This window comes from Homo sapiens, chromosome 18 (assembly GCF_000001405.40).
Source record: "Homo sapiens chromosome 18, GRCh38.p14 Primary Assembly".
NCBI classification, from domain to species: Eukaryota; Metazoa; Chordata; class Mammalia; order Primates; family Hominidae; genus Homo; species Homo sapiens.
The window spans coordinates 35,979,286-36,002,754 of NC_000018.10; the positions used below are offsets into that span (position 1 = coordinate 35,979,286).

Genomic DNA, 23,469 nt, shown 5'->3' on the forward strand with positions numbered 1-23,469 from the left:
CATTACTGTTTTTTCTTCCTTTAGTCAGCAGTTTTTATTTATGTTATTGTCTTTCAAAAGGAAATTGAGATCTTTATGAGAGGGTCTATTCACTCAAGGGTTTCTTCCATGTGTCTATAGCATTGTTGATAATTCAGGAATAGGATCAAGTGGGTCCTTATTTTCTCACAATTATCTGCATAACTATCTTAGTAAAACCTGAACCTTATTCCTATTTTGATTGCAAAAGTAAATATCTGGAACATTCCTGATTATAGATCACTCAATAGGAAACTAAAATTTTCTTTCTTAGAAAAGGAAACATACTGTTGGTGATACTATAAATTAGTACAGCAACTTTGGAAAACAGTATGGAGGTTCCTCAAAAAACTAAAGGTAGAATTACCATATGATCCCATATCTGCATATATATCCAAAGGAATTGAAATCAGTATGTCAAAGAGATGTCTGCCCTACAGTGTTTCATTGTAGGATTATTCACAATAACCAAGATATGAAAACAACAGAAATGCTTGTCAAAGGATGGATTTTTGTAAATGTGTATATACACAATGGAATACTATTCAGCCTTTAAAAAGCAAGAAATTCTGTCAGTTATGATAACATGGATGAACCTAGCGGACATTATGCTAAGTGAAATAAGCCAGACACAGAGAGACAAATACTGTATTATTTACATGGGATCTAAAAAAGTAGAGCTCATAGAAGTAGAGGATATAATAGTGATTACTGGAGGCTGTGGTTGGGGGAGGGGAAATTTCAATTAAGAGGAATAAGTTCTATGATCTCTTGTACAGCATGATGACTCTAGTTAATGTATATTTCAAAATAGCTGAAAGAGGATTTTTGGCCTTTTTTTTTTTTTTTTTTTTTTTTTTAAGAGACAGAGTCTTGCTCTGTCATCTGGGCTGGAGTGCTATAGCATGATTATAGATCACTGTAGCCTTGAACTCCTGGGCTCAAGTGATCCTGTTGCCTCAGCCTCCAGAATAGCTGGAACTACAGACACACACCACTGCACCTGGCTAATATTTTATTTTAATTTTTTTCATTTCCCACTATAAGAAGCCATAATTTTTTTTATTTTTTGTAGAGGCAGGATCTTACTTTGTTGCCCAGGCTTGTCTTGAATTCCTGGCTTCAAGCAATCCTCCTAACTCAACCTCCCAAAGTGCTACGATTACAGGTGTGAGCCACAGTGCCCAGCCAAAAGAGGGTTTTTTAATGTTCTCGCCACAAAGAAATGATAAATGTTTGAGGTGATGGATCTATTAATTAGCCTGATTGGATTACACCAGTGTATACATGTAATGAAACATCACATTGTGTCCCATAAATATATACAATTATTATTTGTCTTTTTTTTTTTTTTTTTGAGACGGAGTCTCACTCTGTCACCTGGGCTGGAGTGCAGTGGTGCAATCTTGTCTCACTGCAGCCTCCACCTCCTGGGTTCAAGCAATTCTCCTGCCTCAGCCTCCTGAGTAGCTGGGATTACAGGTGCCCGCCACTACGCCCAGCTAATTTTTTGTATTTTTAGTAGAGATGGGGTTTCACCGTGTTGGCCAGGCTGGTCTCGAACTCCTGACCTAGTGATTCGCCCGTCTCGGCCGTCCAAAGTGCTGGGATTATAGGTGTGAGCCACCACGCCTGGCCTACAATTATTATTTATCAATTAAAAATACTCAAAGGCCAAGATTAACAACTTGTTCTTATAGTTGCATGAAATGAAATTGTGCTAACTGGTGCCAGCACCAAAAGGCCAGGTATTCACTTTGTGTCCACAACATTTGGCACAACACAATGGTCATGGTAGCTGCTTTACCTTTCTGACTAACTTCTCTCTAGAACATCTGTTTCTCTTGAACTCGTCTTGCTCCTGATCACCTGGTCATAGCGAGCTCTTTGCAGTTCTCAATGCATACCATGTACTTGGCAGCTTCGGGCCTCTGCATGTGCTTTTTCCTTTAGGTCTCACTTTGGAGACTGCCCTCCACCCCAACCCCACTGCATTATGAGGGGCCACTTTTTTTCACAGTTCTGGTGACCCTGTAGTTTCTTGTTTCTGATCATTACCAACTGCCTGTGAGCTCTTTGCAGACCTGAGTGGTCTCACTTGTACCCCCAACACCTAGTTTGTTGCCCAGCACATAGCACAAACTGCAGATTCCAAGACTTACTACATTTAATAAGTTCTACTTCTTCCACACTAAGAACTAAGGTCCTTTCTGAGCACATGATTGGAAAGTAGATAAAAAGTAGTAAAGATAGAAACTCTCAGGTGGGAAGTTGTCCACATTACTTCATTTGCAAGTGAGGGACACTGTGGATTCTTGACTTTTCTGTTTCGCAGAAAGGTCTTTGGGCATTTCTAAAGAATATTTGAAAATTGAAGTGTGGAGATAAAACTATAAAACCTTTAGAAGAAGATACAGGAGTAAATCTTCATAACCCTGGATTATGCAGTGGTTTCTTAGATATGACACCAAAAGCACAAGCAACAACAAGAAAAATAAACAGATAAACTGGACTTCATCAAAATTAAAGACTTGTGTGCTCTCTTCAAAGGACACCATCAAGAAAGTGAAAAGTCAGCCCCCGAATGGGAGGAAATATTTGCAAATCATACACAAATGACCTCCAACTTATGATGGTTCAACCTGAGTTTTTTTTGTTTTTGTTTTTTGTTTTTTGAGACAGAGTCTTGCTCTGTCGCCAGGCTGGAGTGCAGTGGTGCAATCTCAGCTCACTGCAACCTCACTTGAATCACTGGGTTCAAGTGATTCTCCTGCCTCAGCCTCCCGAATAGCTGGGACTACAGGTTCATGCCACCACACCCAGCTAATTTTTATATTTTTAGTAGAAACGGGGTTTCCCCATGTTGGCCAGGATGACCTCGATTTCTTGACCTCATGATCTGCCCGAATCGGCCTCCTAAAGTCCTGGGATTATAGGCATGAGCCACACCGTGCCCGGCCCCAACTTGAGATTTTTTTTAACATTATGATGGGTTTACCAGGACATAACCCATCCTAAATTGAGAAGCATTTGTATCTGATGATAAGGGACCTACATCCAGAATTATGAAGAACTCTTAAAATTCAATAATAAAAAGACAGAAGATGATGGTCAGAATCTGAACACAGTTCTCCAACATGGCTACTGAATACACGAAAAGATATTTCATACCTACTAGGCTGACTCACAGACACAGTACAAGTGGTGAAGATGTAAAGAAATTGGAACCATCACACATTGCTCCTAGGATTGTAAAATGGTGGAGTCACTTTGGAAGTTTGGCAGTTCCTCAAAAATTTAAACAGAGTTACTATATGACCCAACAATTCCATTCAGGCATATACCCGAGATAACTGAAAACAGATGTCCACACAAAAACCTATATATGAATGTTCATGGCAGTAGTGTTTATAATATGCATAAGACAGAAATTTCAACATAGCTAAAAGAGTGTTTTTTGAATGTCCAGCCACTGTTGAATAAAAAAAATGTGGTTTTTCCATACAGTGGAATAGTAATGTTGTCATAAAAAATTACTGATATATGCTAGAACATGAATGACCCTTGAAAACACTGTATTAATTGCAAGAAGCCAGACACCAAAGACCACATATTGTGTGACTCCATTTATATGGAATGTTCAGAATAGGAAAATAAATAGAAATAGACAAGTGGTTGCCAGAGGGATAGGGAGAATGGGGAGCAACTTCTAATGAGTATGGGGTTTCTTTTTAGGGTGATGAAAATATTCTGGAATTAGATAGTAACCATGGTTGTACAACTCTGAGTATACTAAAAACACAATTCTACACATTGGAAAGGTAAATTTTATGTGAATTATCTATCCTTAAAAAAATAAACATTACCTTAAATTTAATGTAGACATTTAAGTTTTAAATCCTGTAAAGAGAAGCAGCAGAGATGCAACATAGGCTCAGACTTTAAGCAGCTCTAATTTCATGGCTTTCCTGGGCCTCCACCATATTGCCATAGGGCCTGTCACATGCTTATGCATCCTACTGGCTGCAGCAGTGCATCCTGAAGACAGCTCAGTATAGCCATGGGCTACTTTTCTAGTCATGGGCTGTGGAACCTGGAACATGTGACCAGAATACCACTGACCCTGTGGACCAGCAAGCCTAAGTTAAAGGCAGCCATCATGAGGATGAAAAGGAGACCCTCACCAGCCAGAAGGGGATGTATGGGGTAAGCAGAACCCTATTAGAGAGAAAAGCCAACAGGAATGACTGGGAAAACAGCAGGAGGGGACAAAAATTGGTGTGCCTTGGTGACACAAAAAACTCTGGGATGACGGAGTTGATGACAATCGAGGCCAAAATCATCTTCAACATACCCTAGTTCTAAAGTATGCACTATTCTCCCCCTCAGCACAGCCCTTTGGGCCTTTTACACAATGGTGACTTCTAATTTGGTCCCTACTCAGATTTTAGAACTCCCAAGTAATGTTCCCAAATGGATCATATTCACGAGGAGTAGTACCAGTGAATTAACTGGGTCTCAAAATACAATTGCACATTTCAGACACTGCTTTAAAGTTGTGTCCTCTCATTTTCTCATTCCTGTTCAGTTATAATAGGCAGTCTTCCTCTTATTCACCAGGGGATTCCATCCCTCTGATTCAGGACCATGGTATATGGAATCGCCCTGCCTTCTCATCTTCAGCCTCTCGCTGTACAGGATCCATCCTCTTAGCACTTTTTTTCCTCTTAGTAAACTATTGCTGTGTAACACAGAGAAATACTCATAGCTCTGATCACAAATCTGAGTCAGATGCCTCTTGAAGAATGGACTTCTGAGGAGCACCGTACTCGCCCCAGCACAGCTCTCACACAGGAGTTTGCTGAAAGTCTCCTGCCTGTGTGCCTCCCAGTATGAGCTCTGTGAGGGCCGTAACCCCAGGGTATAAGTAACTCAACTAGAATATGTGCAATACACTTCTCTGTGTCCTGATGTTAAACTTAAAATGAAATAGTTTTCAGAATAAAAATAAATTTGTATATATTAGTTATTTGAAAAGAATATCTCAATTTTTCTTTTAAAAACGTTATGATAGAAACAGTTTTTCACAGTCTACTTGTTTTAATTAATTACAATTTGTATTTTCCATTTTGATGCTCAAGTTGTTAAACCTTGGCCAGTAAGCTGTAAGCTGGCTTCTTTGTTCAGCTCCATCAGAACTTTGAAGGCATCCCCTGCTTGCTTCTCTGCAAAGAAAAGTTCCAGGACCATCTTCACTCCTTCAGCCCCTGACATGGAAGCAGCCACTGTCCAAGAGATCTTGCTACTTTTGAGCAGAAATTCACACTGATACCAAAAACCCAAGATCGGGATGCTTTTACTCAGGAACAGTAATGGTGCTGCTACATTAGACCACGCCAGAGACAGAACTGGAAGAGATAAATTCCTTTAAAAAATCGTAAGTTTGCATATCTTATCACTTAACATTACTTGAATGTTTTAACCCTTCAACCAAATAATAGTATCTTTTCTAACTTGATAAATCATACAATTACCCCTTTAATGAAAATTCGTGGCCAGGCACGGTGGCTCACGCCTGTAATCCCAGCACTTTGAGAGGCCAAGGTGGGCATATCACTTGAGGCCAGCGGTAAAAGACCCACCTGGCCAACATGGTGAAACCCCATCTCTACTAAAAATACAAAAATTAGGCATGGTGGCACACACCTGTAATCCCAGCCACTAGGGAAGCTGAGGCATGAGAATCGCTTGAATCTGGGAGGCAGAGGTTGCAGTGAAGCGAGATTGCACAACTGCACTCCACCCTGGGCAACAGCTTCCGGTTGTTTTGGAGACTGTCTCAAAAAAAAAAAAATCTTAATTATGACTAAGAATTACTCGAGAGGTAGTATAGCCTACTGCTTAAGCTTGTAGTCTTTGTAGTCCTGCCCTGGTACAGTACCTGGCTGTGCCATTTATTAACTGTGTAATCTTCAACAAATTCTCAATTTGAGTGTTTCTTTATATGTAAAATGAAGATATTAACAGTACCTACCTCATAAAAACTTTGTTGAGGTCTCAGTGAGATGGTGCATGAAAAACACCTAGAAGAGCAGATGGAATATTGATCAATGTATCTATTAAGTATTAATATCAATACTAACAATAAAACCACTGGTGACCAACAAGATTTTAGCACCCACCCTACACTGGTTCTCCTTTGAATACATCCCACTAATAATACAGGCAAATTGTTTTGGGGTATTTGTAAAAATTTTTTGGTTGTGATTATTCTGACAGACTCTTCTTTAGACAGGCTTCTCTGAGCCCTCTTTTCAACTAGGCCTCATCCTTGGGCTCTGTCTTTGGCTTGCCTAGCCCAGTTTTAGCAAGAATCCTGCTAAATCAGTTTAGTGAGAATTCTCCACCCTTGATATCTGACCACTCTGGCCTGCCTTCAGCAAGAATCCTGTCAAAGTCAGTTTAGCAAGAATCTCCCTACCCATGATGTCTCCTTGGTAGTTTTCCATCCACTGACCCCCTCACTCTGCTCACTGGCTACAAAGCCCCAGCTGTCTTTGCTATATTGAGTTTAACCCAATCTCTCTCCCTTACTGTGATAGTCTTGACACCTATAGCTGTAGTCCTGAATAGAATTTTCCCTACCATTTTAACGTGTCAGTGATTTTTTTCTTTAACAATATCAACACTTTTCTGATACATCTTTAGTTGTTTATGTTCAATTGAAGGCAGGTTGGTGTTCTAAGACAGACTTACTTTGGTAGCTACTTTCACTTATGATCGTTTCTTGAAGTGGCATGTAGGTACTGAAGTTAAAGAAACCCTGATCCGTGAATTCACTTCATGAAATGTAGAAAACCCAAATGATCCAATCTCCAAAATTACATACAAGAGGTCCTTTCAGCCTCTGTTGGGTCTTCCTGTAATGACTCAATGCAGAGTCGGAAGTACAAGATGTATATAAATGATTTTCGGCTGGGCATGGTGGTTCATGCCTGTAATCCCAGCATTTTGGGAGGCTGAGGTGGGCGGATCACCTGAGGTCAGGAGTTTGAGATCAGCCTGGCCAACATGGTGAAACCCCATCTCTACTAAAATTACAAAAATTAGTTGGACATGGTGGTGCGTGCCCATTAATTCCAGCTACTCTGGAGGCTGAGGCATGAGAATCGCTTGAACCCAGGAGGCAGAGGTTGCAGTGAGCCGAGACTGGGCCACTGCACTCCAGCCTGGGCAACAGAGTGAGACTCTGTCTCAGGAAAAATCAATCAATCAATCACTTTCTCTGAAATAATTCCAAATTATTGGAATTAAGAGACATTAAAATATAGTTTCCATTTTTTTATGTCATCCAAAAAACCTGTGGTGGTATAATCATACCAAGGGCTACTGAGTCTTTTATGGTAAGGCAGATGATGGTCAGACCCCAAACTGCATTTGTTTCTCTTTCACTCTGCCATCCTCAGAAGAATTAAAAGAACTGTGCTAGACAGAGAAATGAAATAAGAAAATATAGAGGAATTTGCCCAGGTGGAGAATGGGGTTCTTAAGTTTAAAATAAAGTAGATGACAAGGGAGAGCATCAGGAAGAATAGCTAATGCATGCAGGGTGATGGTTGATAGGTGCACCAAACCACCATGGTATATGTTTACCCATGTAACAAACTTGCACATTCTGCACGCATCAACTTAAAAATAAGGCAGATGAAAAGCACTTCTTTGGCTTGTCATGAAGGCCTGCTATTACAATTGCTTTTATTGGAACAAAAAGTCCTTTTACACCCTCTAAAGGTTTGCCATATGTGAGAAGAATATTTGAGGTAACATGTTGGATGCCTAGAACAGTGGTTCCCAAAACAGACCTGGAACTTAAGTGGTCATCATAATTACCTAGAGGGCTAGTTAAAAAGATATATTGCTGGTCCCCAGCCTCAGATTTTCTGATTCCGTAAGTCTGGGGGCCCAAGAATTTGCATGTCTAACAAGTTCCCATCTGAGGCTAATCCTACTGGCCTAACGAACCTGCTGGCTTGGAAGAAATATGTTGTCTAGAATATCCCTAGCAATAGTTCACTGTAACTCTGCTTTATTGATGTGAATACAAATAATTGCTTTGAAAAAAACAATTGGAGATGAAAGTAGGGATTCAAACAGATATTTGTACAGTGACATTCATTGTAGCTTTATTCATAAACAGCCATAAGGTGGAAGCAAACCCAAGTGTCCATCAATGGATGAGTGAACAAAACATGGTGTACACACACACACAATGGAATATTATTCAGCATTAAAAGGGAAGGAAATTCTGACATTTGGTACAAAATGGAAGAAACTTGAAGACATTAAGTATAATAAGTCAGTCCTAAAAAGAACAAATATTTTATAACTCCATTTATGTGAGGTACCTCTAGAAGTCAAATTCATAGAGACAGGAAGGAGAGCAGTTGTTGCCAGGGGCTGGTGGGGAGGAGGGTGGTGTGAGGAGTTATTGTTTACAGGGTCCAGAGTTTCAGCTGGGGAAGATGAAGAATTTTGAGACATGGATGGTGGTGATGATTGCACAATGTCAATGTACTTAATGCCAGAGTACATTTAAAAATGGTTACAACTTACCATATGTATATACTGCTATGTACTTTTTTTTTTTTTGAGACCGAGTTTCGCTCTTGTTGCCCAGGCTGGAGTGCAATGGCACAATCTTGGCTCACCGCAACCTCCGCCTCCCGGGTTCAAGCAATTCTCCTGCCTCAGCCTCCCAAGTAGCTGGAATTACAGGCATGTGCCACCACACCCGGCTAATTCTGTATTTTTAGTAGAGATGGGGTTTCTCCATGTTGGTCAGGCTGGTCCTGAACTCCTGACCTCAGCTGATCCACCCACCCTCAGCCTCCCAAAGTGCTGGGATTACAGGCGTGAGCCACCGCACCCAAGCCTGCTATGTACATTTTAACTAAAAAAAAAAAAAAAAAAGTGTAACATCCTCTCACAAGCCCCCATCCTTCAATAGTGCGTTTAGCTGACATCTTGCTTTTTAGCTTGAATACTTGGATAACGTTAATTTTACTATCACATGAAATGTTATGCAAAATGTAGACTTGGTGATGGTGGAGCTGCAACAGAACATATCAGTGTAAGAGGAAGCATCATATAGTGGTTAAGGAGCACCAGCTTGGAGTCAAACTTGGAGCCAGGTTTGAATCTCATCTTCACCATCTGACTCGTTCAGAGTCACACAGACCTTACATTATTTTCATTGCCCAGATATAAAAGTGGAATAATTAGAGTATTTACCACAAAGGATAAGCGAGGTGCTTGGAACAGTTCCTGGTGCACAGTAAGTACCATATATGTGAGCTACCATTATCATCTGTTATAGACCATATATTGCTTTGTAGGGCATGTTTCTCAAAGTGCAGTCTATGAATTACCTGCATTAGAATCATCTGAGTAGCTTGTTTAAAATGCAGATTTCTGCATCTATCCCAAATCTTCTGAAACAGAATCTCTGGGTATGGGTTCCACTGTATAAAACCTATTGCAGAAGCAAAAAAGTGGATGGGAATGGGAAGTATCTGAATTCAGATAAAGTGACCAGATGCCACCCAGGAATAGAGAACCAGGGGTGCTGTGGCCAGAGGACTACATTTCCCCAACTTTTTAGATGATGGTAAGAATCACAGAAAATTTTCTCAGTAGGTATGTATCCTTTTTGTAAATGCTCCAATTGAGTTTACCAAAAAGTATGGCACACACTGCCCTGGAGATTCTCACAGATTTCTAGTATCTTCAGTTTTGCTTTAAATTCAAGGAGTGGTAAAAGGGCATGGGCTCCAGGAGGTTGACAGTACCAATTGAATCTGTTCACTCAAAAGCACTTAATAAAGCACTACTAAGCAGTGGACCACAAAAGAATATGTGATCTTGTTCTTTTCCCATAAGGAACTTGCTATATAATTATAAAAACCATACTTTATTATCTTATTACCTGGAATTTGTTTAGAGCAGTGGTTGTCAGAATGTGGTCCCTAACCCCAGTGGCATCAGCATCAAGTTGTTTGAACTGTAAACCATCAGGCCTTACCCCAGACCTACTGAATCAGAAGCTCTGGGAGTGGGGCCCAACTATCTGTAGTTTATAAATCCTCTAGGTCAGGGATGTCCAATCTTCTGACTTCCCTGGGCCACCCTGAAGAAGAATTGTCTTGGGCTGCACATAAAATACACTAATGATAGCTAATGAGCTAAAAAAAAAATCTCATAATGTTTTAGTTTACAAATTTGTGTTGCACCACACTCAAAGCCGTCCTGGGTCACGTGCAGCTCACAGGTTGGACAAACTGGCTCTAGGTAATTCTGATGCTCGCTCAAGTTTGGGAACTACTGGCCAAGTAAATCTCCTCCTTCAGCAGTCTCTCTACCATAACATCAGAATTATTTCCAGTACTTTGCTTCCCTCCCAGTCCATTAATCTTTCCCCTTCCCACCCCATATCCAATGAATCAGATTCACAAAACAACCTACACATTTCAAAAAGAACATAAAACTTTATTAAGAACATCTTATACTGTCATCAGATACAGCCAAAGAAGAACGGGTAAACAAACAGGGAAAGTTCATCTTCCCATGTGCTATTGCCACCTCAGAACAGACTCCTGTGTGGATGGCTGGAACAACAGTTGGCAACAAATGCTCTGTATAAATAATTCATTAAGTAACACAATGTTTCCTTTCTATACAGAGAAGAACTGGGCTTACATTTTAAGTTTTGATATAGTGCAACAACTATGAAACAAGACTACATCCTTAGGAGCTATTTCTTAATAGAATACAAAGCAGTTTAGTAGCTTTATGTTATTTCAGATAATGTAATTTTTTTAATGAAAAATTCAGAAAGGACATTCTAACTTTCCCAATTAGTTAATTTGTACTGTTGAGTTTTTTCTCTCTAAAGATTTCTCAGAATCAGTTCAGTAACTATACTTTAAAAAGATGAGTTGCTCATCTACAGTGATAACTGACAACTTAGTTTTGTGATTTTGCAAATCAAGATGCCTGGGTCATCCCCACTTTTGCTGATTCTGAAAGATTTCTTATAGAAAAACCCTGATTCAGAGTGCATGTGATAGGAGATACCAAAATAGCTGCATCTGGACAGGGAGGTTGGCTATTGAGCACAGCTGATTCTCAGATTCCTGGTTCCCCTCTATGGTCCTTTTACTTACTGTAGTGATGGAAGGAGAGAAGGAGCGCCCGAGAATCTGTTCAGATTGTGACTCCAGACAGCTCTCTGCACTGTATGTGGAGAAAAGAGTGATGGCATCCATTCAAACCATAGCAGCCCTACGGCACCATGCTTTTCTCTTGAGGGGTCAGACCAAACTGCACTCAAAGATGCATGATCTGCCTCAGGTGCACAGTGGAGAAAACGCTCATGATTTACAATTTGGTATTATAATACCCCCAACTAATCCCATTTCTTGAGAAAATGAAGTCTTCCTTTTAGGAAGAATGTTTGCTGCTAAGGCTTACCATGTTAATTATCACACGGCTGAAAAGATGACTTCTAAATCAGACTGTATTGTCTGTGTTCAGTTAATACGTTAACCAACAACTGAAGTTTGTGGAGGATTGGTCGAGGGGTGGGATTCAGGTTTTTGAGTACTATCACTTATCACAAATCTCATCAAGCTCTTTAAAAAAATAATGCATTTTTATCATAAATATTTAGAGCAGATACTGGCATTAAAATCAGTATCTAAGTCAGAAGTCTGTCTGAAATGGTGAAAATATTTCAACAAACTTCTAAAAGATTTCAAATCTTCCCAGGAGTACATAGTTTATAAATTAGTTTTAAATGGAAAAAAATATATATTTTGAATGGATAAATCACCACTTTAGCAGATCATAAATAAGGTCAAGATATTGAAAATAAGTTAACATACAAGTTTTTGCTTTCACATTAATAATAAAAACTAACTTACTTAGTATACTTTCATAACATGTACAACCAGGTTTCATAATTGTGCATCTGTCACCTCCCCACTTGGCTGAATCTTTTTCTTCCATTTCCTACACCTAGGGACAGAGGTACACAGACATCCCAGGGTGTGAGTGTGGCTGCTGCATGCTGTGTCCTAGTTAGAGCAGTGTTACAAATGCTGGTCAGGATCTATGATTAGTAACCTGTGAACCACGTTACAAGTGAAGGACATTCATGGTTAGGTGGATTCAGTTCCCAGGTGAGCTATCAGCGGTAGTGTTAGGGAACCTAACTACTATTCTTTCTGTGAGAAAATGCACCCCAAGTCCCAAAAGTTGACTAAAAACTTTGGAATAAGCCATGTATTATTAGTAGTGCATGGATGAGCACTACTTATATGTGTCTCTGTTTTGGAGAGAGGTCAAATTGTTAAAAGAACTATTTGCAGAACTACTTGGCTATTAAAAATAAATGTCTGCCTTCTTCATATGCAATTCATTGTAACTATAATTTCTAATACTGAGAAAGAAACAATGAAGCCATTCAGACTAGAGAGACATAATTGGCTTGTGGGATTTTCAAGATGTTTTATTGACTATCTAATTTGAATCTACTTACAAAGAGAAGAAAAATGTCTAGTATGTAAAGCAATGAATGAAAATAAATGTTTATCCTAAGTCATTATTGAGTACAAATCCACAGCTTAACAATGTGTTTTTAACAGCAGGAGAGCATGCAACTGCTCTAACACACAGGGTCAGAAATAAAAGGTAAAAGTACATTTGTTTTGTAACTGTAAATATACAAATATAAAATTTACCATATCTACCCTGTAGTGTGGCACTGCTTAACTGCCAAATATACAGTCATTCAAAAACCTTAAGGAAACATTGAAAATGTCTCAGGCTACTTTACTGAACATTAACGAATATTGTGTTCTTGAGCTATTAGAGCTAAAAGTATTATTTTTAAAGTTATATGAGCAAGGGAATAATAAAAGTATCATTTCACGTGTCTTTTAATCCCATAGACGGCTTTTTGTTAAAGGGATTAATTATGTTAAAAGGAAACTGATTTGACAAATAGAAACCAGTTCCAGAACCAAAGTTGTCCTCTTGGTAGAATGTCAAAATGTATATTATTTCCAAAGTATTTTCATTATTAATCTACTCAAATAATTACAAACAGTTTAATCAAGGGAGTCACTATTTAACACTTTTAAAATCTACACTGGCAGTTGGAATGGAACTTTTACAATGCTATTAAGGAACAGTTCTCTAGACTTTCATCTGCCCCTCAAAGTGACATCCCTGTTTTATGTTAAATTACCGACCTCTAAGGAATCAAAGGCATGTAGAGACACAGAATTGATATTTTGTTTGGGGAGAAGGGTAAAGATTATGTTGGAACATTTAGTCCCTTCTACAATCAAGTCCTAACTATACCATAATAAAGTCTCAATCAACTCCTAATTAGTTCTTCCCCTTCAGGAATTACATAGTATACAGTGATTAAATGCTGAAGAAAATAAAGAAAAACAATTGAAAATACCTGAAGAAATACAAACAAGAGATTTCTCACAAGGCCTTGGATCAAAAAAAAAATTTACAAAAAGATCTTTTGAAAATAATCACTATTTGTGAGCTTATTAATACACACAAATCATCACTTTGTTCAAATTAAGTCATGTTAATTTACCAATAAAATAGTAAACAAACCAACATTTTAAACAATTTTATAAATTACTCGTTGTTCCTTTTGTTAGTGTTTCTTTCTCAACAATATACAAAAATAACACTACAGGACTATCCACCTAACCTGTCTCCATCTCTTGCAAAGTCCTGGGACCTGGAAAGAGGCTGGTCCATCAATCTTCACTGTAGATGTCTCCCGCAAAGGGCAGGTGCATGTGGCTGCCAGTGACATTGGGCAATCGAGATAAGTCTGGCAGGCTCTGGATCCGGGACCTGAGTTCTTTGCGCACCAGGGAAACTCTGGCTAGCTTGCGCTTGTACTCCTGTAACATCAAACCACTTTCATTAGCATTCAGGGATTGAAAAAACTTCCTAGCTAATAATGACCTACATAAACCCAGGTACTATATATACTCAGTTAATGCCATATTTAAAAAGGTTATTCCAGTGTGAGTTTTCACATCAAAAGATGAGCTTTGGAAATATATAACTAGTAAACTATTATTATTAAGAAAAACCACAATCTTTAGCTGTTGCTTCACACCAGTAGAAAGAAGACTAACATTAATGTGCTTAACCTCGACATATAAGATGTTCAGGTATTCTTGAGTTTGGGCAAGAAAAATTACATATTTATTTTCATAAACCTTAACTAAAATTTGGCAAGAACATCTATGAAAACTCAGTAGGAATGGCCAGAGTCTGTGGTGTCTGAAGCAGGACTGCTCCCTTCCTGTGCCCTCCCATCTAAGCAAGGAGGGTCCACTCCAGACTGCTGCAGCCAAGAATACAGGATCACTCTCCCTGCAACTCCCAGTGGGAGGGTTTTATTCCCAGAAAGAGCGCCTCTCATCCTACCCCAACTACCTGGTGCTGAAGCTAAGTCCTGAGATAGAGCAGGGAAGAGCCTGGGGACTCCCTCCTGTCCAGCCCCCACTCCTGGAAAAGAAGTTCCTTCTTATGCGTGGAGGACTGAGAATACTTGGGCCCTGATAAGCCTCACCCCCAACTCATGAGGAAGGTGGCTCCACAGCAGAAGAGGCAAGCCAAGACAACCTCAGGCTGCTGCACCCCTCCCTTTCTCCAAAAGCTCAGCACCCACAACAGGGTATCACTCAGAGAAAAGCTTCCCACTATACCCATCTCAGTTCCAGGGTCCTGACTCAAAGATTTGGTCTAAGGAAGTAGCAGGCAGTAAAATAGATATGTCCATGGCAATTCACTATTACCACAGTGCATGGCACAAGGCAGGGAGATTCACGCTCTTTCCAAATGTGGTCACAGGTAAGTCCTGAGAGGACCATCCTAGAGAGTGCATAGATGAGGAAACATCTAAGGAAGAAACCCAGCTAGGAGTTTACTGCAACTCTCCAGGAAAGAAAGGACTAGGGCCTGAACCGAACCAAACCAACAGTAGTAAGGATAGAGCAATGTCCTTTAAAAACTACATTATATGTAAATAATACCTTAATGTCAAAGACTAAATGTTTAGAAAGAAAAATCAGCAGGAATTGGTTGTGGTTCTGCTGTGAGGAATAATGAGGGTTCAGGCTTCATAAGCAGGTGGATATCGGAGCTGTTATCTGAGATAGCAGAGAGGGGCACAAACTCCTTTGGAGAAGGATACAGAGTTCATTTTTAAGCATGATAACTGTGAGTTATCCATGGGATTTCTAGTAGGCACTTGGAAATGTGATTACAGTATTCTGAGCTACAAATAAAGATTTAGGCTTTATAACTGACAAATTCTAGCTAAAACCAAGAGAAGAGTATGAGCCACTTAGGTTTATATAAATAATCTACAACGTTTCTCAATCATTTTGCCCCTCCCTTCTCTACTCTTCTGCACATCTACCATGAGCCAAGATTTCATCAAACTTTATTTTTTGTGGTTTTAGTAAAAATATACATATAATGAATCTATCTGATTTTCTATCTTTTCCATCATACCACACTACCCCCCATGATTCTAATGTATCCACCCAAAAGATGGCATGACCCTCGTCCCTCTCCTGGTTAAGAATCACAGTACACACAGGAAGGAAGAGAAGTGAGCTAATAGCAAAATGCAGAAATGTCACCAATGTTGAAAAGGATCATGAAAAGAGCAGTAAAATAGTAGATACCAGGATAGAGAAGTGAGCATGTATTTGGAAAATTTCCCACTTTTTTCTTATGAAAATACTGGCTTGCTGAACAATACCACTCACATCCATTATCTGAATAACTCAGTAATTATCCTTAACTAAGACTATCTGCTCTCCAATTTTTTTGCTTTTTTTCGTTTTTTTTTTTTTTTTTTTGAGACGGAGTTTCGCTTTTGTTGCCCAGGCTGGAGTGCAATGGCGCTATCTCAGCTCACCACAACCTTCACCTCCTGGGTTCAAGTGATTCTCCTGCCTCGGCCTCCTGAGTTTAGCTGGGATTACAGGCATGTGTCACCACACCCCACTAATTTTTTTGTATTTTTAGTAGAGATGGGGTTTCTCCATATTGGTCAGGCTGGTCTCGAATTCCCGACCTCAGGAGATCCACCTGCCTTGGCCTCCCAAAGTGCTGGGATTACAGGCATGAGCCACTGTGCCCGGCCTTGTCTCCAAGTTCTTATAAAAGAATGCAATAACAAATTCATTGTAATTTGATATTTGAAAAAGGTTCACCTACAGCATTTCATATCTGAAAAGTTTCCCACTTCTTAAGTGTGGGCTGTATGTGATGACTGACTTCCAAAGAGTACAGTATGAAAAGGAGGGAAAAAAGATTAACTTTACAGAGAAGAAACCTGACAAACAATACCTAAGCCATGTGATAAAGGTCCTATCAACACTATCACTCAGGTTGACAGTATTTCCTTTGACATGAGATGAAAATGGCATTCTCCCTCTATGGTCTTCCTCCCTGAAACATATGACTCCACTTTAGCTGTGAGAAAAACATCAGAAAATCCCAAATGAGGGACGTGACCAGTAGTGCTGAAAACTATCAAGGTCATCAGACAAGGAAAGTCAGAGGAACTGTCACACCCAAGAGAAGCAGAACAACCAAATCTAATGTGATATTCTGGATGGGATCCTGGAACAGAAAAAAGGACATTAGGTAAAAATTAAGAAAATCTGAATAAAGTGTGGCCTTTAGTCAATGTGTCAATATTGGTTCACTACTTATGACAAATGTATCATACTAATGTAAGATGTTACAATAGGGGAAACTGGATGTGAAGTGTATGAGAATTTTCTATACTCTCTTCATAGTTTTTTGGTAAACCTAAAATTATTCTAAAATTAAAACTTTTTTTTTTTAAAGAAAGTCTGATGGACAAACTAAACATTTTCCCAGATTATCAAAGCTGTTTTGCATAATTCTTAATCTTCACAAAAATGCTAAAACACAGGCATCATTATTCCCGTTCCATAGATAAGAAAACTGAGGCTTTAAAAACTGAAGATAACACGCTGGTTTCCCTTCAGGTAATATAAATCTTTCAACTTTTACTAAAAAGTGAACATAAACTGCTCAAGGTTCATTAACACCAGGCACCATGTAACATAATTGATTTTGATACATCAAAATTGATGAATAAATTAATAGATCTTAGTTATTTCTGGTCAAATGATACGACATTTGCTATTCAAAAAGATACAACCAAAAACATTTTGAGATGTTTTCCAGAATAGCAGTTGTATTATCAACACTGTGATGCAACTTGGTTAAAAATACTGGCCAGGCACAGTGGATCACACCTATAATCCCAGCATTTTGAGGCCGAAGTGGGTGGAATGCTTTGAGCTCAGGAGTTTGAGACCAGCCTGGGCAATAAGGTGAAACTTTTTGTCTCTACAAAAAGTACAAAACTTATCCAGACATGGGTGGCATGCACCTGTAGTCCCAGCTACACAGGAGACTAAAGTGGGAGTCACCTGGGCCCAGGAGGTCGAGGCTGCAATAAGCCATGATTGTGCCACTGTACTCCAGCCTAGGCAATAGAGTGAGACCCTGTCTCAAAAAAAAAAAAAAAAAAAAAAAAAAGAACTATCTGTAATTTAAGATTACAAATAATATATGGCCACTACAGCAAATATATTGAAGTTATTTTAAACTATATAGAATTTTTATGATATTAAGCCCAATATGAACAAAATTCCCTTAAAGCCAAATACAGTACAAATTCCTATTTAGAATATTTTGTTCAAGTTTTTCCTCCTTTACCTGTCCAGGATACCAATTTCTTTCCATACTTCCAAGTGCCAGCTGAAATCCCAAACTATATTGAACATTCCCCAATGACTTTTCTCATATCTCAACTTTCACTACTATTTTCGGACCATGTAACAATGTATTGCTTTAACATCCTATTGACCATTCACATATCACATATATAGAATACACTTTTTAAAAAAACTGATGAATGAAATGTCAAAAAAGAGGGAAAAAAATTCTATCATTTGAATGGTTAAACCTTTCACACATGTGTATATACATATGTATCTCTTAAGAAATGCAACATTCATAAGCAAAACATTCAACACCCAACATTCATAAGCAATTTCTTTATATTGATTTAGCTACACGCTTTTAAAAATTATTTTTGGAAAGCAGAGAATGTAAATAAAATGAATGTAACTGAGTATCTATTCTACTACAAATAAGATCAGCAAAGAAAACCAACTTTGCACCTTTTTCCTCTACTACAAATTTTGCTCTTCTTTCCATCTTACCCATCTTTAGTCAAAAGCTACTTAAAGTTTTTAAATTGGGGCACAACATAAAACTCATAACTATTAAGTAGATACTTCAGTTAGTATGTATGTGTACCCATCCGTGTAACCAACACCTAGATCAAGATATAGGCTTTTTCAGAACCCCAGAAATTTTCCTCATACCACCTCTCCCAATTTTTAATCACTATTTTCCAAACTTCAATTAGTTAACTACCATCCTTCATAACGTTCTTTACCATGACTCCCTTACACTGTTATTTACATAATATTTAAATCAACTCATTTTTTAACATCTTCATTCTAAGAAATAATATCCATGCAATCACAGGTTGGTTGTGCTCATTTTCGTTTTGATTCACACATCAAAATAAACGTAACTAGGGCTGGGCGCAGTGGCTCACGCCTGTAATCCCAGCACTTCGGGAGGCCAAGGCGGGCGGATCACCTGAGGTCACGAGTTCAAGACCAGCCTGGCCAACATGGTGAAACCCTGTTTCTACTAAAAATACAAAAATTAGCTGGGTGTGGTGGCGGCACCTGTAATCCCAGCTACTTGGGAGGCTGAGGCAGGAGAACAACTTGAACCTGGGACAGAGGTTACAGTGAGCTGAGATTGCACCGTTGCACTCAAGCATGGGCAACAAGAATGAAACTGTCTCAAAAACTAAAAAAAAAAATGTAACTATTAAAATAAATGTTCTCAGGTGGCACCATGGCATGGGTGCATTTGGGAACCAATGCTTTACCTCATTCTTCTTACTCTGTTGACCGAAGCCACTTTACTTCTTCTCCTCCGTTTTCCTCATTCAACAAGGCCCACCTTTCTGTCCTTAATTTACCCTTTACTTGCCACAAGTATCACCACTACCACCCTAAAGCTTGTTATCACCTCAGTCATGAGCAACCCTCATGTCAGTTTCTGCAGTTCCAGCTTCATACCAAGGCTCAATTCCACTGATCATATCCAAGCCCCTCCAGTCTTCCAAAATTTTGCCCATCTGTCATAATCCAGGCAAATTTTCACTTTGCCTAAAACTCTTCCCCTGTTCTTAGCATCCTTACTCTAGGCTCCTAGCTGAAACTATCTCTGCGCTGTTTGGTTGTAATCCATGTTAAGTCTGTCTTGTCTTTCCAAGGGCAGAAGCCTTCTTTACACTGCTATAATACTTCAACACTAGTGAACTAGGAGGTGTGACTTGCCTTGTGTGCACTGCAAGTGGGCTACAGCTTCTTGAAATCTGAACCACCATTACAGATTTCTTTACAGCTAATACTAAGTATATATTGAGGATCCAAATTTTATATATTTTTCAAGTCCTACATTAAGACCAAACACTGCAATAGAATCTTTTCTGACTCTGGCCTCAAGCTAACTTCCTATGATATACTACTATACAAGTTATTTCTGAATTACTACTGGATTGTTTTCTAATTTCATACCCATAATTAGAAAACACACTTTCTATATATCTACATTACTTGCAGTGTCCAGCAGGGGACTGAGTATTAACAGTACGCCCCAGTCAACACTCCATGAAGTCAGATCTGGATGGAGTACTGTTTCCTCAATCTACTTCCTATGTAAACCTGGACAAGGGCTCCTGAAGGTTATCTAATTAAGTCTCAGATGCCTCCTTCATAAAATAAGGGTACTATTTTACAGTGCTGTGTGGCCAAATTATGTGGAAGTTTTCAAATTAGGAAGTGCTATATAATTGTGGTTATCATTCTGAGATGATATCAGAATCACCTTGCAGTAAGAACATCTAAGAGAATAAATTTCCTGAAATTTGGAATTCTTGTTCATTTTAGGGCTGACCCTGTTATGTTCTAAAATTCTAGTTGCTTTAAATACATAATATTTCTGAAATTAAAATATTTACATGGCTGCCTTTTTCTTGCAGATGCTGCTAATAATTCATTTTATCTTTCCTACATAATTGTGACAAAAAAAAAAGAGAGAATTTCAACCACATCCATATGGGGATCTTTAGTGGTCAATTAAAGGCTTTGGTCAATTCTAAGCATCATACTTACTGTATTGCAGACCTATGGCTTCCTACCCATTTCTTGATAAAAACAGCAGAATTTGTAGAGAAAAAAGGTGCAAAGTTTGTTTTCTCTGGTGACCTCATTTATCTGTAGTATAATGTCCTTTGCCTCTTTTAAGAAGTTAACATACAAGTATTTCTTAAGCCACTGCCTTCAATAGAACTATTAAGAAGCTTCAGTTCTCATTATTAGGATCCATCACCATTTACTTTTACTTCATTTTTCATGTCCTGGAATTGGGCCCTTTTCTAGATTAGAGGAAAAAATTAACTGAAGTATTAATCAAGATATAACACACACACACCCATTTTCTTTTTTTAATAAGGCCAAGACATTCCATGATGTCAGGGCGTTTCTGAGACTGCAGATTAGTCAAGTCTGTTACCATCCCCAGGGGACAGACTGCAAAGGAAATAAAGATCTCAGTGGTTTGCCCTCACCTTCTGGGAAACAAATGCTCAAATTTGGCTTGGTATCTAATCCTGGAATTGACAATTTTAAAAATATAAACTCCAATATAGCCAATCCTTTCTCATTTCTTTTCACAGGTTATCCTATACATCTCAGATGGAGCTGTCATTTTTTCCCCCTTGACTGCAGAAGTTTTACCTTTTGGTGGGAATTACTTTAATGTAAGTAAGTATCATCTAACGAACTGTCTCACTTCCTTTAGTTCCTTCTCTTAAGAAATCCACTATTGCAGAGTTTCATTAATCTTCCAGATTGTTAACAACATGTGGAAAAAGATATTTTATCAAGTTTTCTGCAAGGAACCCAATGCCTGTCAACTAGGTTTTGAAAAACCGGTAATGTTAAATTATTAGGGTAGATGTTACAAAGAAACTTTATGTATTCCAAGATTTCATTATACCACACTGTGACCCTAACCAAATAGCTACTACACTTCTCATCTGCTTACTATATGCCAAACATTGTTCCAAGTGCTCCATTTAATCTTCACTGGTAGAGATTATTACTAACCATGTATTATAGATGATGAAACTAAACCACATTTAACCATTAAGAAACTTCACCCAAAGTCAACAGACAGGGGCAAAAGGGGGCTCCAACTTAAGATAATCTGTCTTCAGAGTCCTCATGCTTTACCATTATGCTAACCTCCCTCTCATATCCTGGAATTATTTTGGGGGTGGGTATTCTGAAGATGTTATCCAAATGAAAGTTCAACTAAGGGTTCAGAACAGTGACAGGACAACTAGTTATGTTCCTAAAACTCAAAATCCAATAAGGAAACACTGACTTGTATCAGGTAGTCTACTTCTGTCCTTAAAACATCTCTGGCATTCCTACTAGTGAAGCAGAGTTGTCATTTTCCCATGAATAACAGCATATAGGCCCCGTGATAAATTTTCTTAAACAAGAGTAATAGCAGCAACATAAACATACTAGGGAAAAGGCAGAAACAGGCTAGTTCAACCAGAAAAGGTGCCCAATGCCAGGAAAGCTGAACCTCCTAATAATGATGTTTTGACCTTGAGGGTGGAAGGATGGAGCAGAGAGAGTAAGCCAGGAGCTGATAAGCAGCATTTAACTTTGGTTATTTCTGTTTTTGAAATTTCAAATCAAGCAGAGAGAAGGAATTTAAAGAAATGACCCTCCATAATCAGTCTTTCCACATGTACTCAAATTCAAATGAGGAAGTTAATACTGTTACCTTTATCTTCTAACATTTTAGCCTCACTCACTTAGTACATATATTATCCAGTTAATAAAGAATCCCATTTCTCATTTGTCATAAATGTCATCTAATCTGGTGTTTCCCAAATTGGGTGTTCCATGAAACATCATTCCATAAGGTTTTCACAAGCAGGCCAAAAGTCAGAGATTCTGGGCTTATGTTTGTAAGCAAAAATAGGGTTCTTTGCTACAGGCCTGCTCAGATCCTCCATATCTGAGCAGAGTGAAGTTCCAAAAGTACAATCTGGTTTGCGACATTCCTCAAAATCACTGAAATACATTTTTGCTGAACACATACTACCATCTTCCAGAGCTAACAGCTTATGTACCGAATATAGTTAGGCAAACATTGAACCCAACATTTCTCGTCCTTGTTATTCGACCTCTTTTTGACCACCTCCAGCACTAGCAAACTCACTAGTTTGTCTTTCACTTTTGAAGAATAATTTCATTGGATATATAATTCTAAGTTGGTGGGTTTTTTCTTTCAACACTTATCTTCTTGCTTGCATGGTTCTGCTGAGAAGTCCATAATTTATCTTTGTTACGCTACAGGTAAGGTAAGGTGATTCCCCCTCTGGCTTCTTTCAAGGTTTTACTTTGATTTTCTGTACTTTGAATATGGCATGCCTAAGTAGAGATTGTAGGCATTTTGGTATCCTGCTTGGTGTTCTCTTGAGTTTCCTGGATCAGTGGTTGGGTGTCTGTCACTAATTTTTAAAATTCTTGGCTATTTTTACCTCAAATATTTATTTGGCTTCATTCTCTTGCTTTCCAGTATTCCAAGCCCATGTACATTATACCTTTCCAAATGGTACCAAAATTCTTGGCTGTTCTATTTGTGGGGACTTCTTTTCCATTCTGTTTTCACTTTGCATTTCAGTTTGGGAAGTTTCTATAGACCTAGTCTTCAAGTTCACCACTTCCTTCCTTGGCAGTGCCCAGTCTGCTGAACTGCCCATCAAACACATTCTTATTATTTTTTTTACAGTCTCACTCTGTCACCCAGGCTGGAGTGCAGTGGCACAATCACAGCACATTGCAGCCTTAACCTCTTGGGCTCAAGTGATCCTCCCACCTAAGCCTCCCAGTGTCGGTAATTTTTTTTCCCCTAGCATTTGCTTTGGATTTTTTCTGGGCATTTCCACCTCTCTACTTATATTACCCATCTGTTCTTGCATTGTACCTACTTTTTCTGTTAGACCCCTTAACATTTCAATTATTTTAAATTCTTAGTCTCATCACTTCAAAATTTGTGCCATATGTAAGTCTGGTTCTGACACTTGCTTTCTCTCTTCAGGCTGTTTCT

At 38.7% G+C, this 23,469-nt stretch overlaps 1 protein-coding gene across 3 annotated transcripts in view, besides 1 other annotated feature; it reads right to left on the reverse strand.

Annotated features, from left to right (window-relative positions):
• Window positions 4,770-5,969: an enhancer, noted in NCBI's record as "CDK7 strongly-dependent group 2 enhancer chr18:33564018-33565217 (GRCh37/hg19 assembly coordinates)". NCBI's record gives its function as "activates an origin of replication core promoter dependent on BRD2, BRD4, P300/CBP, MED14 and CDK7 cofactors, with strong dependence on CDK7, by STARR-seq in HCT116 cells {active_cell/tissue: HCT116}" and the evidence as "EXISTENCE:reporter gene assay evidence [ECO:0000049][PMID:35650434]".
• The window catches only part of RPRD1A (regulation of nuclear pre-mRNA domain containing 1A), a 77,736-nt gene continuing 64,805 nt past the window's right edge, over window positions 10,539-23,469 (reverse strand). For 2 of the 3 annotated variants that reach the window (NM_018170.5, NM_001303411.2), the window contains one exon: window positions 10,539-14,015. In NM_018170.5, the coding sequence (NP_060640.2) occupies window positions 13,866-14,015 (150 nt within the window). In that variant the 3' untranslated portion in view covers window positions 10,539-13,865. The remainder of the gene's footprint in view (window positions 14,016-23,469) is intronic. The other variant, NM_001303412.2, reaches the window with a different exon arrangement.